The sequence below is a fragment of the Homo sapiens genome, chromosome 18 (genome assembly GCF_000001405.40).
Source record: "Homo sapiens chromosome 18, GRCh38.p14 Primary Assembly".
NCBI classification, from domain to species: Eukaryota; Metazoa; Chordata; class Mammalia; order Primates; family Hominidae; genus Homo; species Homo sapiens.
The window spans coordinates 60669464-60686139 of NC_000018.10; the positions used below are offsets into that span (position 1 = coordinate 60669464).

General features: G+C 35.7%; 1 pseudogene, besides 2 other annotated features; it reads right to left on the reverse strand.

Annotated features, from left to right (window-relative positions):
- On the reverse strand, positions 4050 to 4646 carry LOC100420948 (ARF like GTPase 14 effector protein pseudogene; annotated as a pseudogene).
- Positions 15441 to 15942: an enhancer, noted in NCBI's record as "H3K4me1 hESC enhancer chr18:58352137-58352638 (GRCh37/hg19 assembly coordinates)". NCBI's record gives its function as "activates a minimal SCP1, AML or CMV promoter by ChIP-STARR-seq in naive H9 embryonic stem cells {active_cell/tissue: H9 hESC(naive)}" and the evidence as "EXISTENCE:reporter gene assay evidence [ECO:0000049][PMID:30033119]".
- Positions 15943 to 16442: an enhancer, noted in NCBI's record as "H3K4me1 hESC enhancer chr18:58352639-58353138 (GRCh37/hg19 assembly coordinates)". NCBI's record gives its function as "activates a minimal SCP1, AML or CMV promoter by ChIP-STARR-seq in naive H9 embryonic stem cells {active_cell/tissue: H9 hESC(naive)}" and the evidence as "EXISTENCE:reporter gene assay evidence [ECO:0000049][PMID:30033119]".

Sequence of the window (16676 nt, forward strand, 5' to 3'; positions counted from 1 at the left end):
GTAACGCCAATTAGCAAACATAGATGCCCTATAATCTTCCTACTCCACCTCTTAAAGAGTCTCCAGCCCTTTGTTTCAGCAGAAGTGAGCTCAAACTGAGTTTGGACTTTCTCTTGTATTGCCATAGCCTTGAATAGTCTTTCTTTACCTGTTTGTGCAACTTTGGCTCCAGCATACCAAACTGGATTTATTTAAAAATCTTTAAGTTATCCTTTGCAAAAAAAGTGTGGTATTCAGCATACTTAATATGCAGGCATTCAAGATAGGCTCTGAGTTTTTGAATGTGAAGTATTTGTGTGTGTGATAATCTATGAATTCCTTGTTCCTGCAAAACATTTCTGTGACTATAATGATTGATCAAATCAGTTAATATGCTAAAAGCTACTAAATTGTACACTTCAAATGGTAAATTGTACTATAATTCACACAATGGGTGGGTTCATCCACCCAATTACCACATCCAATGAAGATTTAACAAGAATTTATTACTTGCAATAAGTAAGGAGGACATGGAAATAATTCCCCAAAGCAGTACCTCTCCAAACAAAGGTGGAAGCTGGGCTTTTACTGGGCTAATAGCTGAATCATTGCATGTAGAAGTCAGTAAAGACAGTGCAGGTGCAGTGATTATGCTTCTACTTATGTCCTGTGGATAGAAATGGTAAATAAGCTCCTCCTTGGGCTGGGTTTTTAATATGGTAATGAGGAGGATTCATCAAAAGTTTATCTCCTACTTAGGCATCTCTGAATCCAACTGGTTTTTGTTTTGCTGAGGTTGGGCTTCTTCCTAGGAATTTTACAATATGATATGTGAATTATATCTCAGTGAATCTGTCTTGCCTGTAACCCCAGCACTTTGAGAGGCCAAGGTGGGTGCATCACGAGGTCAAGAGATCAAGACCATCCTGACCAACATGGTGAAACCCCGTCTCTACTAAAAATACAAAAATTAGCTGGGCGTGATGGTGCATGCCTATGGTCCCAGCTACTCTGGTGGTTGAATCAGGAGAATCACTTGAACCCGGGAGGTGGAGGTTGCAGTGAGCCAAGATCGCACCACTGCACTCCAGCCTGGCGACAGAGTGAGACCCCATCTCAAAAAAAATAAAAAATAAATAAAGAATCGTAGAAAGTGTAGAGTCCTGGTAAAACAAGTAAGCAACAAAAAGGAAGTGGAACCAGGTGGGGAACAATTGTTCTGAGAGATGGCTAACACAAACAACTTGCTGGCACAACATCCTGTTCCCAAATATCTCACTCCACATACAGCCTCAGCAGCAGCAACTGATCTGCATGTAACCCTTCCAGCATGACCCTATAAAACTTCCCTCCAGCCCCTGTCTCCTTGCGGACAGCCCCTTCTCTACTGTGCTGCCCATTGCACTCTCACAACATATTTTGGTACTTTCTCTAATAAACCTGCCTTTCTTTACACACAACAGTCTTGGTAAATACTTTTACTGCCCACAATGCTGGCCCCTGCCAGTTGTATCGGAAACATGAAGCGTTTAAGGAGTATGGTGATTGTTAGCTAAACTAAAGCCTAAAAAAGGCAAGGTAGGAATTTTTTTAGTGGTAATAAAATTCACAGTTTGTGTTGTTATTTCACATATTAAAGGATTCCTTTGTCTTTTAGATGTTTCAAATGCTTTCAAAACATTGTTTAGATAATTACACAACTCATGAAACAGTGGTTTGTGAAAATTAAAAATGACTAAAATTAAGTTAGTTGATTATGCATGCTAAGGAAGTTTGCTTACTAAGCAATTCTTTAAAGTACATTGTGTTTTTAAAAACTGAAAAAAAGTCATAACTTTAGTAGCTTCTCAACAGTATACTTGAACTCCCCAGAACCACTGATCAACTTGAGCAAAAATTATATTTTCTTCTTAATAATTGCTAGATGTATGTGGCTTTAAAATGTATCTTTGCTAAAAGCTACGGACATTTCATTGACTCCATGCTGTGAAGCAGTGTTATTGTACACTGTGAGTCTAGTTGTAGAAATCATTTGTTATACACAAGATTTTATAATAACTACCTTATAATACAGCATTCTTTCATGTGTAATAAAGCCAAAATTAGTTATTTTCTTATAAAGTATTTGTTAAAAACAACTGGAAGAAAGCAAAAGTGTGCAGTGAGTCTGTCATATGTGAAATTGCTCTTAAATTTTTACTTTGAAATCGAAGTTTTAATGGTTATATATTAATTTATTCACTAAACCCTGTGTACAGCAGAAGCTATTGTGTTACTATTTTACTTTGAACTGAATAGTATTCTAAAATGATTTGACCACCTTAACCATGTCACACTTACGCCATAAAATGAATCTGGATGAATTTATTATATTCGTTTTTCTAATTGTAAGTAAAGACAATACTCTTGTGATTTTTTACAAATACAAATATATATATATACACACACACACACACACATACATATGTGTGTATGTATATACATGCATAAATACACAGTGTATATAAATATATATGCATATATATCCAGATATACATTTAAATATAAACATATGTATGTACCTTAACTTAGATACATCTTTCTATGACCACTTTTTGTAGACTCATTTGTTTGTTACCTAATCATCATGAATAAAATGTGGCTAAATTGTTCTTAAGAAAGTTTTCTGTTTAAAATCTTTAAAAAATAATTATTAATGTTTTGTTACAGAATGCTTAAGTATAAAGACTCTAGATATAAAACCGCTAATCCATAGAAAATATATACCTATCTTAAATATAAAACTTTAAGATTTTAATATCTTCCAATAAATACCTAAGCAGTTCATGAAATCATACTTGAAAACAATATGAATTTAAGAACATGATATTTCCTTAAATCAGTTACAATGATGTAACCATCTATTTAAATAAATAAAACCAAAATATTCTCTTTTCATCCATACTGAGTTCTATTCTCAGGGTCACAAAACTGACAAATTGACTTTGAGAACTGTGTTGAACAAGCTAGTGGACAATTACTACATAAAGAGGACAATTGATTCTGTTTGGATGAAAATGACAGTTCTACCAGTCATTTTGTACAAATAGTAAAAGAATGTTTGTGAGAATAAAAATATTAACTACAACTTGATATAGGCTATTCTTTAAATTTCCAATAGTCAATTCCATATAACCAGCTATTAAAAGCTGTGTTCATTTAATGTCTCAAGTGCTGTAAAACATATTAAAATTTCAAAAGTGCATTTTATTGAAATAAAATATTGTATTAGAGAAAAAATTTAAAAAAACAATGTGTTGATATTGTGTAAGGCAGTTGATGTTTTAAGAGCAGGTGGTAGGTTACTCTCTAAATAAAAGGAGAAAATTCTGCTACTTCATATACATTGCAAATCTAGGTTTAATCAACTTCCACAAAACCACTTTACCTTATGTATTAACATATGAAATATGTACATTATATATGAAAGTAAGTTTATTATTTAGATTAACATAAAAAATAAAAAAATAAGAAATGTGATGTAGGTTTAAATGCTTGTAGGTTTCTAATAATAGCTTGAAGATAAGCCATGAAAATAACGGCTAGGTTGTATTCAAAATTCTGATTGATATTTAGGTTGAAATGATAATTAAAAAATAGTTTAGCACTCTCCCACTCAATTGTGTCAAGATTAAATTTACTCCAAAGTTGGGCATTGTTTCCAGCCACTCTGCCTGTTGGCATTTATTCAGAATGATGGTAAGCTGACTGCTGACTATTGGCATATCTAAAAACCATGAAAACTCAAACACTCCAAATGCAACATTAACGTATGTGGTATATGTATAATTTTCTGTCATTTGACACATAAGCTTAAAAAGTTTGTATGATTACCTCAGTTTCAACTAAATTTAGGACTTAGTTTGACCCACAAATTATCCAACATTCTTATAATCAGTGATCTCTACTCCCATTCCACCAACTCTCTCAGAGTCTCTTTGGTCTGTGGTGCTCACCTTTTTGTTCATTAAAGCCCTTACAGAGAGAGCCATGCATAAACATCCTATCATCCAACCCTTCTCAAAGCCTTTCTAGAGATCCTTCCAGTTGGCATCAGGAGACTGTGGCTATCATGGACTCTACCCATTCTTACTATTACTAGTGTGTTTGAACAGTAGATATTTCTTTCATTCTTTGGTTAGCTTCCATTCATTAGTTCATTTTTCATTTATCAGAGTGAGGAGCAAATTTGGTTTTCTTCTTCAGATTTGTTAATTATCTGAACCTTATATATAGTTCTTGCATCTGAAACACATTTTCTTCTCTGGCATTCTCCAGGTCAATACGTACACTTTCATTAATTATCTGCATATATACTGGACAAAGCTTTAAATGAGGTACAATCTGTTTTCCATATTTTGCCCTGAGAAAATGGCAACCTCTACCTTAATTACAGGTAATTTTTTTTTGCAATCTTTTGTGTCTGTTAAATAGATCTGAACTTAACTTCTACAAATTCTCAAATTTTTCCACATTTATTTTTCCCATGAAGGAGGCAAATTTAACTTTTCAAAAAGCATTTTCCTACATCTAAATAAATTAAAAGAATATCATCTCTGACAGTCCTTGAAATTCCTGTGATGAGTAGAGGAAATTTTATGAAATTCACTGGTGTAGAGCTGAACACCTGCTTCGAAAAGGAGTGGGAATTAAACAGTTGGAACACATGGACACAGGGAGGGGAACATCACACACTGAGGCCTACCATGGGGTAAGAGGCAAGCGGAGGGAGAGCATTAGGACAAATACCTAATGCAAGTGGGGCTTAAAACCTAGATGATGGGTTGATAGGTGCAGCAAACCACCATGGCACATGTAAACCTATGTGATAAACCTGCACATTCTGCACGCGTATCCGAGAACTTAAAGTAAAATAAAAAATAAAAATAAAAAAGGGGATTCAGTTTACTTCATACTAACATATGTTCCTTGCACATCACTTTGCTTAAATTTCTCTGATATCTGTAGCAGAGCATCTGAAAATAATCTGTAGTAATAGCATTTTGACATTGCAGCCTCCGTGGACCTGCATGCACAGGAGACTATGACTTGCTTTTATATCTCATATTATTGCCTTTTCTACATGAATGGTACAAGTTTTTTGAATATTTCACTTAAAAGTGCTCACAAATATATTTCCTAGCTCTGTCTTCCTAGAAACAATGATAGCTTAATAGCACAAGGTATACCTAGTACTCAAAGCTTGATTTTAAATACCAGTCTCCAATAAAAGGAACGATGAATGCTTAGAGAAATGGCTGGTTTTAGGGCTTGAAGAGGAAATGTACAATACAAGCCTGGAACAACTTGTGATGACAGAAAACCCGGAAGTAAGACCCAAAACAAACAAAAAATTAATAAGGGAAGAAAGCATGTCAAAAGGGCACAGGATCCAATAATCCACTGGAAGGACTTCCCAATGGCCAAAGCTGAGACAGTCTGGGTAACAAAATAAACATTGGTAGTATTAGATTATAACCTGTAAAATAAGATAAACCCCCATGAGTCCCTTCTGATATAAGTGAATAATTAAATGGGGAAAAAGGACTTTACTTACATTAGAAAAAATGAGGGAACTATAAAGTCATCATTAAACAAACACCAAAATAATAGTTGTTGCAGGTAACAACAATGGATACTAAAATTAGTGGACAAAAGTATGATGAAAAACAGGATATTTCGTGGTCTCAAAGTATTTCTCATGTGTTACTTTGCTGTGAAGAAACCTGGCAGATGCCACCTTAGTGATGGGATCAAAGTTAATATTGCAGCAATAGGACATATCAACAATATAATATGATTCACTGGAAAGGTATATTCTCGTTGCTGTGGTATTCCTGCCAAATGTTTATAACCTCAATCTTATCATGAGAAAACATCAGGCAAACCCAAATTGGGAAGCACTTAATAACCGAGTAGTATTCTCCAAACAAACCAAGGACATGAAAAACAACAGAAGACTGAATGCCTGTCCAGTATTGGAGGAGAGCAAGAAGATACCCACGTGCAATGATCCTGCATTGAAAAAGTACAAAAAATGGACATTATGAGGAAAGTGGTAAAATACAAATAAGGTATATAGATTATTTTATATCAATACTAATTACATAATTTCAATAATTACACTATAGTTATGTAAGATGTTAGCATTAGGGGAAGCATGATGATATATACAGGAGAACTCTCCATACTATTTTTGCAAATTATCTATTAAAATTTTATAAATAAAAATTACATTTTCTAAATAAAAATTTTAAAATAACATGCCACAGGATGTATAGTTATGCAATGTATTCATGAGTTTTTTGATGCTTATGTTTAGAAATACTTTATACTCTAGTGTTCTAAACCAACGATCAGCAAACTGCTTTGTGTAAAGGGCAATTAGTAAATATTTTAGGCTTTGAGGCCCACAAGTTCTCTGTCTCAAATATTCCAGCGTGCTGTTGTAATATGAGAACAGTCATAGAACATATGTAAACAAATGGATATGGCTGTGTTCCAATAAAACTGTATTTACCAAACAGGTAGTAAGCTGGATTTGGCCCAAGGGCCAGAGTTTGCCAACTTGTTTTCTAGACTAAGGTCAGACCATATCACCTGGGTAAAGTTTATTAGAGTTGTCCCAAAGTTGTATGAACATTTCTTCTCCTATACCCAAGGCTACCAATTAACAGGTAACCAGTATTATTGATTTTTAAATGTAAAAGAGAAAATATAATTCGTGCCTTAATATGGTTAACTAATGAGTTTTCTAATATTTCCGACTGGTTTGCTAGCTTCCTGCTTTATATGATGCTATTTAATACCCTGTTTTCCACACTCAAATTACACTGTTCAACAGTGTCATCCCCTATGTTCTTCCACAGTAATATTAAATAATACAGAAGACATAAATTGGGTTTTGGTTGTTTACCCTAGGACGAGTATAAAATATGACACTTTTAATCATATTTTAATATTGTCATAGCAAGAACAATTTGGTTCGTGTTGCTTTTCCTTCCAGGAAAATGAAATAAAAAAAGTATATCAATTACTTATGAGAGAATTTATTTAGGGTTTCTAAAGATATAATAAGAATATCTAATTTTTATTTTATTAACTGCTTTGAATAATGGTTTACAATATCTGAGAAGACTCATGTTTGTACTATACAGGTGTAAATCTATTTAAAGCCATTCAGACAGTACTAGAGAGCATATAACATATGTAAGACTCCCAGAAACAAACCCTGAGAACAGTATTTGAGTTTATATGGAAGGTGAAAGGAACACCTGTAAGGAGGTGGGAGGAGTAAGACAAGAAAGGGCAGGTGGCGGGTAAAGGGTGTCTTGACAAGCCAGCTGGACCTGTGGGTGAACAGCGCTTAAACCCTCTGGGATTCTAGGAAAGTCAGCAGTCATTAGTTGAAGGCTTCTCTGGAGGATGTTAATTCTTCAGCACCTCTGGTCTGCTGTGCACGCAAGGAACCAGGCTCTGACAGCAGATAAAACCCTCAGGCAAAGAAATGTAAGTGCTGGCCACAAGGAGTCAGGCTAGGGTATGCCGAAGAGAAGATTAGGAGGGGGCTTAGGTGGAGCATCAACGGCACCTACTGCAGTATATTTAACTGAAGAGCCCACACCAGCTTCTGATGCCTAGAAAAAGTTCCTCTTTTTTTTTTTTTTTTTTTTTGACAGAGTCTTGCTTTGTCACACAGGCTAGAGTGCAGTGGAGCAATCTCAGCTCACTGCAACCTCTACCTCCCAAGTTCAAGCCATTCTCATGCCTCAGCCTCCCGAGTAGCTAAGATTACAGGTGCGCACCACAATTCCCAGCTAATTTTTGTATTTTTAGTAGAGCTAGATTTTTGCTATGTTGGCCAGGCTGGTGCCAAACTCCTGGCCCCAAGTGATCCACCCGCCTTGTCCTCCCAGAGTGCTGGGATTATAGGTATGAGCCACTGTGCCCAGTTGATGCTTAAAAAAATTCTAATGCTATTTTTCTTACTCTTCTGTAGCAGAGTAGAAAGCAAGTTTGTTTAACAGAATATTTGGATTTTCTTTTTTTTAAGTTCTGCAAAAGCTGATCACATAACAGCAATGTATTTCCCATCTGACATGACGTTGCTTCACCGCTTGCAGCTTATCTCCAAAGCTTCATTCCTCTGTCTTTTCTTGGTAAAGAATGTTGTTGTTGGGGAAGGACTGTCCAAATAAATGGTGAAGCTATGCTTTCAGGTCAGCAACATGCTGCAGAGTCCCTCTGAGTGGTCCAGCAAATAGCACATTCTGTGAGCATCAGGGTGTTGGCAGAGTTGGGGGTCATTGTATCAAGGCTGGGCTCTGAACCTGAACTCATGAGCCCTGCCTTCTCAAGCTCATCAGGATTTGCTTTGTTAGTTATTTGGGAGATTACAGTTTGCTTTGGAAGTTGTAAAATATCTTTAGAATGCATTGGTTTCTCTAAGTCCAATTTATTTCTGCAACATATTTTATCTGAGACTACACCAGGGAGAAACATAAATTAAAAGCTACTCAATTTGTGCCATTAGCCTGAAAGAATAATAGAAGAGACAACCTCTTCTTTGTCTTGGAAAATAAGTTAGCATACTTGTTTGACTACTAAAGGTGGGATTTCCAGATGTGTAATTTAGTTTAGATAGGTTGAAATAAAAGGTACATTTTCCTCTGAAATAAAGTAAAAGAGGCTGTAGTGTGGTGCTCTGTTCATGCCTCTAGAGATGGGAGAGCAGAAGATAAAGGGAAGGGAAAAGGAAGGGTCTAGGGAGCTAGGAAAACCAGTAACTTATGAGAAGGCTGCATCCTACTGAAGAAGTTATCAACTGAATTCCTGTGGTGGGCACTGGTCAATGAATTTACAGGAATTGCAATATGTTACCTTAAATTTAAAAATCATTCTACTCTGTAATGCAACTATTCAAAATACTTCCAATTAAAGTCTGGTAAAAACAAAACTTTGGTTAGCGGAATCTGGGGCAGGGAAAGAGGAGAAAGTAATCATTATTATATAAGAGACCAGCAGCACAGCACACAATATTTAGTAACCAGAATGTCTAACTACATTGTGGATTCTAATCAACTTCCTCCCAATAAGACATTCTGCTGCAGGGACATCCATCCCACTTTGTGGGGTTTGCAAACTTCTAAGAAACAAACCACTTAATAAGAGTGTCAAACATTGAGTAAGGCAACTGACCTAGACTCTCTCTCTCTTTTTTTTTTTTTTTTTTGGTCAATGTTGTTAAAATAAAGAAGTTTGGAAAGAACAGAAGGCTTCTCTTTATTACTTCTTCACAGCAGGTAAACAGCCTCCAAAAATTGCTTTGAGGCAATTAAGCAGGCAAAGGTTTTTATAAGGTTTTGAGGATGGAATCCCTGTGACAGTCCCAGGTAACCAAGTAGCAGAGACAATGAGTATAAGACCCAGAGAAAATTCCAAATTCCCAAACATTCTGGACTGAACATTTCCAAACAGGATATGGTAACTATGAGAAAATAAAATGAAATAAAAGATAAGAAAAAGTATTCCCTGTCACTTCTCTGATAAATATATGAATAGTTATTTCTCAGTAACTTGGCATTAACTTAGGGCCAAATAGAACACTCCAGCTAAGAGACCTAGGTAAAAATTTTTGAGATCCCGGGGACTCAAGATAGTCCAGGAACATATAGTCTTTCAATGGCAAGAAAGAAAATAAATATGCATAAACTGTTCATCCTAGACTAAGAAACATAAAGATTAAATACAATGTGCAAATTTTAATTGGAAATAAAAGAATCCAACTAAAAGAGATATTTTGGGAGGCAATTAGGGCAACTTTTTAAAAATTTATTTTAAATGGACATATTAAAGATTGTAGATATCATGTACAATATGATGTTTTAAAATATATATACATTGCGGAGTGGCTCAATACAGCTAGTTAAGGTATGCGTTACCTTGCATAGTTTTTCGTTTTTTGTGGTGTGAACACTTAGACTCTGCTTTTTCTCCCCACAATTTTCAAAGAATACAATGCATTGTTATGAACTATATTATGTTGTACAATAGCTCTCTTGAATTTACTCCTATCTAACTGAAATTTTGTCTCCTTTGACTAACATCCCCTTACCTCCATCCCACCCCCAACCCCTGAGAACCACCATTCTACTCTTGTTACCGGAAAGGGGTACTGATCCAGACCCCAGGAGAGGGTTCTTGGACCTCGCACAAGAAAGAATTTGAGGCAAATCCATAGAGTGAAGGCAAATTTAATAAGAAAGTAAAGGAATAAAGAATGGTTATTCCGTTGGCACAGCCTCCCTGAGGGCTGCTGGTTGCCCATTTTATGGTTATTTCTTGATTATACGCTAAACAAAGGGTGAATTATTTATGCCTTCCCGTTTTAGACCATATAGGTAAGTTCCTGACATTGCCATGGCATTCGCTAACTGTCATGACACTTGTGGGACTGTAGCAGTGAGGACGACCAGCAGTCACTGTCATCGCTGTCTTGGTTTTGGTGGGTTTTAGTTGGTTTCTTTACTACAAACTGTTTTACCAGCAAGGTCTTTATGAGCTGTATCTGGTGTCGACCTCCTAGTTGATCCTGCTACTTAGAATGCCTACCCATTTGGGAATGCAGCCCAGTAGGTCTCAGACTTATTTTACCCAGCCCCTACTCAAGATGGAGTTGCTCTGATTCACACGCCTGTGACAGGTTGTACTTGTAGGAGTTCAGCTGTTTTAGATTCCACGTATTAATGAGATAATGCAGTATGTGTCTTTCTGTGCCTGGCTTATTTTGCTTAAGATAATGTCCTCCAGGTTTATCCATGCCATTGCACTATCACCTACTGGAGGGCCAAAATCCAAAACACTGATAACACCAAGTCCTGGCAAGGATGTGGAACGACAAGGCCTCTCATTCACTGCTGGCGGGGATACAAAATGATACAGTCATTTAGAAGACAGTTTGGCATTTTTTTTTCTTACAGAAAGAAAATATATTTTTACCATATGACCCCGCAATTACGCTTTTTGGTATTTACCCAAATGAGTTGAAACAAAACCTGAAAACAGATGTTTACAGCAGCTTTATTTATAATTGCCAACATTTGAAAGTAACCAAAATGTCCTTTACTAGGTAAATGGATAAATATACTGTATTACATCCAGACAGTGGAATAATATTCAGCACTAAAAAAGTAAGTTATCAAGTCACAAAAAGACATGCAGGAAACTAAAGTAAAAAACACAATCTGAGAAAAGTACATACTGCATGATTCCAACTATGACATTCTGGAAAAGACAAAACTATGTATATAATAAAAGGATCAGTGGTTGCCAGGTATCAGTGGGGAAGGAGAGAGAGATGAATAGGCCAAGCACAGGGAATGTTTAGGACAGTGAACCTATACTGTATGATACTATAATGGTAGATAAATGTCATTATAGTTTTGTCAAAACTCATAGAATATATAACACCAAGAGTGAAACCTATGTAAACTATGGACTGGGTGATATTGACTTGTTAATGTAGTTCTATCAATTGTAACAAATGTATCAATCTTGCATAGGATATGGATAGTGGGGAAGACTGTGCATGTGTGAGCACAGGGAGTATATAGGAACTCACTATTTTCCACTCAATTTTGCTGTGAACATAAAACTGCTTTAAAAAAATAAAATATCTAAAAAAAAACAAACCAAAACAAAATACAGCTAACATCATACTTAATCATAAAACTGAATGCTTTTTCCCTAAGATGGGGAACTAGGCAACGATCTTTTCTCACTACTGTTGTTCACTATCATACTGCAAATCCAAGGTAGAACAATAAGACAAGAAAAGGAAATAAAAGGCATACTGATTTACAACTTCCTTTCTTCCTTTGTTTGCAAACTAAACGTGCATATAGAAAATCCTAACGAATTGATAAAAGCAACAACAGCAAACAAAAGACAAACTCCTGGAGATGCTAAGTGATTATAGCAGGTTTGCAGCATACAATCTTACTATATGAAAGCCTATATAAAATCTTACTATATAAGAGATAATTTACTATATAAAAGGTAATTACACGAAATGTCAATGTTATCAAGGCCTCAATGGTTTGACTTTGCTAATGTTTAGGTTCTGTATACCAGTAAAAAGTCTTGGGATTAGAAATGAAAAACACGATCTTCTTTACATTAGCACAATAAAGTAATACTTAGGTACAAATGTAACAAAAGTATACAAGATCTATGTGAGGAAAAATAAAAAATTGTGATGAAAGAAAGAATATCTAATTAAATGAGGAGATACTCTACTTTAATGCATAGAAATAGTCAACATTAAGATGTTAGTTCTCCCTAATTTGATCTACAGATTCAATGCAATTCCAATAAAAATTCCAGCAAACTATTTTGTGGATATCAAAACCTGATGATAATGTTTATATGAAAAGATAAAAGACACATAATAGCCAACACAGTACTGAAGAAAAGCAACGAGTTGAAAGAGAGGCACTCAAAAAAGGTTTATGCTGTAAATCCTACAGTAACCACTAAAAATTAAAAAAGACATATAACTAATAGCCATTGGTGGAATTTTAAAAACAGCCCACAACCCTCAATTAAGAAAATAGAAGCAAAAATGTATAGGAGATAGAACACATGAAGCAAATAGAAAATACTACTTAAGATGGTCATTTTAAAGCCAACCATATGGATAATTACATGAAATGTCAATGTTCTCAAGGAGTCAATTGAAAGTAAGAGAATATGATGCTGGAATAAACAGATGTGACAATTTTAAGTTGAAAGTTAAAAAAAAGGAAAGGGTGAGAAAATGATAAAGGAGTCAATTCATCAAGAAAATATCACTTTCCTATGTGTATTCTCCTTCAATAAAAGTAATAAAATTTAAAAAGGAATTAAATCTACATACAACCAGAGGTTAAGACTTCAATTTTCTCTCAGTAATTTATACCAGAAATGGAGAGAATGGATAGAATATCGACAAGAATAAAGACCGAAAAACCATACAATCAATTTGATGTACTTGACAACAGAGGTGTCCTCCATGCCAAAAGAACAGACATAGGTAGCAAATATGCATATGAAAAGACTGTCACTATCATTAGTCATTAGAAAAATGCAAATCAAACCATAATGAAGAACTGCTACACACTTACTAGAATAACTAAAAATAAAAACTGACAATATCAAGTGCTGCTGAAGATGTGAAGCAACAGGAACTCTCAGAGATTGCTAGTAGTAATGAAAGTAGAGCAATCACTTTGGCAAACAGTTGCACAGGATTTTTCTATTTTGTTTGTTTGTTTCTGTTTGTTTGTTTGTTTGTTTGTTTGTTTTGGGATGGAGTCTTACTCTGTAGCCCAAGCTGGAGTGCAATGCCACTATCAGGGCTCACTGCAGCCTCTACTTCCTAGGCTCAAGTGGTCCTCCCACCTCAGCCCCTGAAAGAAGCTGTAACTACAGGTGCATGCCATCATTCCCAGCTAATTTTTTTTTAATTTTACTGGAGACAAGTTCTCACTGTGTTGCCCAGGCTGGTCTCAAACTCCTGAGCTCAAGTGATCCTCCAATTTCAGCCTCCCAAAGCGTTGGGATTATAGATGTGATCCACCGCACCCAACCCTTCCATTTGAAAATATCAAACATGATATGTTAGTCAATTTTCAAACTGCTATAAAGAACTTCCTGGAGACTGAGTTTATAAGTACAGAAAAGAGGTTTAATTGACTCACAGTTCCACATAGCTGAGGAGACCTCAGGAAACTTACAATCATGGTTGAAGGTGAAGGGGAAGAAGCACCTTCTTCACAAGGCAGCAGGAGAGAGAAGCAAGCAAGAGCAGGGGAAACTGCCTAACAAAACCATCAGATCTCACGAGAACTCACTCACTATCACAATAATAGCATGGGGGAAACTGCTCCCATGATCCAATCACCTCCCTCCCTTGACACCTGAGGATTACAATTTGAAATGAGATTTGGGTGTGTACACAGAGCCAAACCATATCATATGATTTAGCAATCCTACATCTAGATATCTACCTAAGTCAAATAAAAATGTATGTCCACAACAAGCATATATGGAAAAGTTTATAGCAGTTTCATTTATAACAGTCCCTAACTGAAAATAAACGTCAAGTTTTGACTGGACAAATAAATTGTGAGATATTCATACAGTGGAATACTATTCAACAATAAAAATAGCATACCACAGATACATGTAGCAATATGAATAAATCTGTTAAGAATTATCATAAGTGAAAGAAGCCAGACACAAAAGGCTACATATCGTCTAATTCTGTTTGTGTGACATTTTAGAAAAGCCAAATGATAAAAACACAAAAAAGTAGAAATGGTTACCAGATCCTGCAAGTTGAGGGAAGGGGATTGACTACAAGAGGCACAAGGAAAATTTTGGGATGATGGAAATATTTTATTTCTCATTTGTAATTGTGGTTACATAGTTGTATATAATTGCTAAAACAGATAGAAACGTACATTTAAAGAGTGAATTGTACAGTGGTGAATTATATCTCAACAAATCTAAATTTAAGAAGTTATTGAAGAAAAATTCTATGAAGAAAGGTATCCTTTGCTGAAATGTCACTGTAGAGTTTAAGGGATGACACATGGTGACCTAGCTGGGGTAGTATGTTTGCCCTTCTAGAGAGCAGTTAGATACACAACTCGAGGGATGAAGTAGAGTCCACCATGTGGGTTTCACTGACTGACTTAAATAGTGTCAAATGCCTTGCTTAAGCCAGAACAAATAATTGTTTCCCACTCTTCCTTTTATCGTTTTTTATTTTAACAAGATTTTATGTTTTCTCTAGAGTACCCTCCTACTGTCTTAAAAATTTTCTAGTATATCCGAAGGAAATTCAAATCTGACTTGGCAATGTCTTTGTTTATAGACAAAGACATTTCATTTGGTTTCACATATACACACTTTGTGTATATGTAACACACCTTGTGTACATGTAACACATTTTGTATATATACAACTAAATGAAATAGAAATCATTTTCTGTTTCTGTGAAAATTTCAAAGTAATCAGGAGACCATGGATTTTGGTGTGCCATTTAGCCAAAATTCTAATAAATAAAATATTATTTAAAGGGTTGATAAGCGGAGAGAATTAGCTTCTGTAAAGTACCTCATTGGTTTCTATCAAAAGAATCTGACTTCTCATTTAAAAATGAGAATATTAGTACACTCCTTGCAGTGTTCTCTTGTAAGAATATTAACTGATATTATATATATAAATTATCTGAGGCTCAGACAAATTAAGCAATTTTCTTAAATTTATCCTGAATAAATGACAGATGAGGGCCATTTTACTAATCATTAGTAGACCTTGTTAGCTGTATGTGGAAAAGTGTTGGATAGCATGACTCTTAGAACTAAATTTTATAGCTTCAATAGCATAAGTTACTTTACTGTGACTTCACAAAATACAATTAACAATCCTTTTACAATTTTCCTAATATAAAACACACACACAGACCTTCCTTGCATTTATTTAATTGTTCCACTAGATGGCATTATGAGTCCACAGGGTGTCAAATACACTTTTGTAAGAGTTCTAAAACATCGACATCTTTTATCTATGGCGAGTTAAGTAAACTTAGGCCTTAACTGCATTTGTTCCCATATATGTTGATATTTCTTTTACCATTCTCAAGCGAAATATTACTGAAAAAATGCAACATGTTAAGTTGTTTTAACCACATTACCTTGGGTGTGGCATGGTGAGACTCCACAGGGATCCAGAAAGAGAAACAAATTTTACAGTTGTGTCACACCCAGCTTCCTGGGAGAGCACAGCCAGCCACCCCAGGCCACTCCGGAGAGGTGCTGGGTTGGCCCCAAGGCAGGGGCAGGAAGGGGTTGCGGGCAAGAGCTGTTATTATGGTTTCTGCCAGAGGCAAGGGCAAGGCAGGACAGGCAGGTTTCAGGCTGGCTAATTTAAATAATTCAGTGCGCTGGGGCATAGGGCCTGTCCCCTGACATCTGGAACCTGGCCATGAGAAGACAAGGGAGGTCGGCTGCTCAAGAAAGGAACCGACTCGTTTCTAGCCAGGACCTCAAAACTGAGTCAAGACCACACAAAACAACCAACCAACAAAAGACAAAAGAACAACAACAAAAACCCTATATTGTGTAGATATTATTTATGTTTTGTGTCAAGACTGTTCATATTTCATACAAATGAAGGTCACTCAGAGCTTTCTATCTTATTGGAAATTGAGTCTCTTTCCATTCATCCCTAAATATTCATGAAGGAATTGTGACAGAGACTACAAAGCCACTTTTGTCAAGCAGTATTTTGGGACTGAGAACGGTACGTCTGGGTAGTTTCTGTTCCTAGGTGTTGGATTTGTACCTCTTGAGTGTGGACCATTTTCCTCTGTGTCTTATCTTTCTTGTGAAGAAAATTAAAAGGCTCAACTAGATAGTGAAGATTTACTCCTTTAAGTCATGATATTTGATGCATGAAACTTTAAAGAAGAGCCTGGAAAAATGGCGGGCAAATATACCCATCATGGCATAGCTAGCAGAAATGATTTGATTATGTAATATATCATAAAAAACAAATATTGTGGATCCTGATAGTGAAATGATTAAAAAGTCAGAGGGCAAAGGGACATA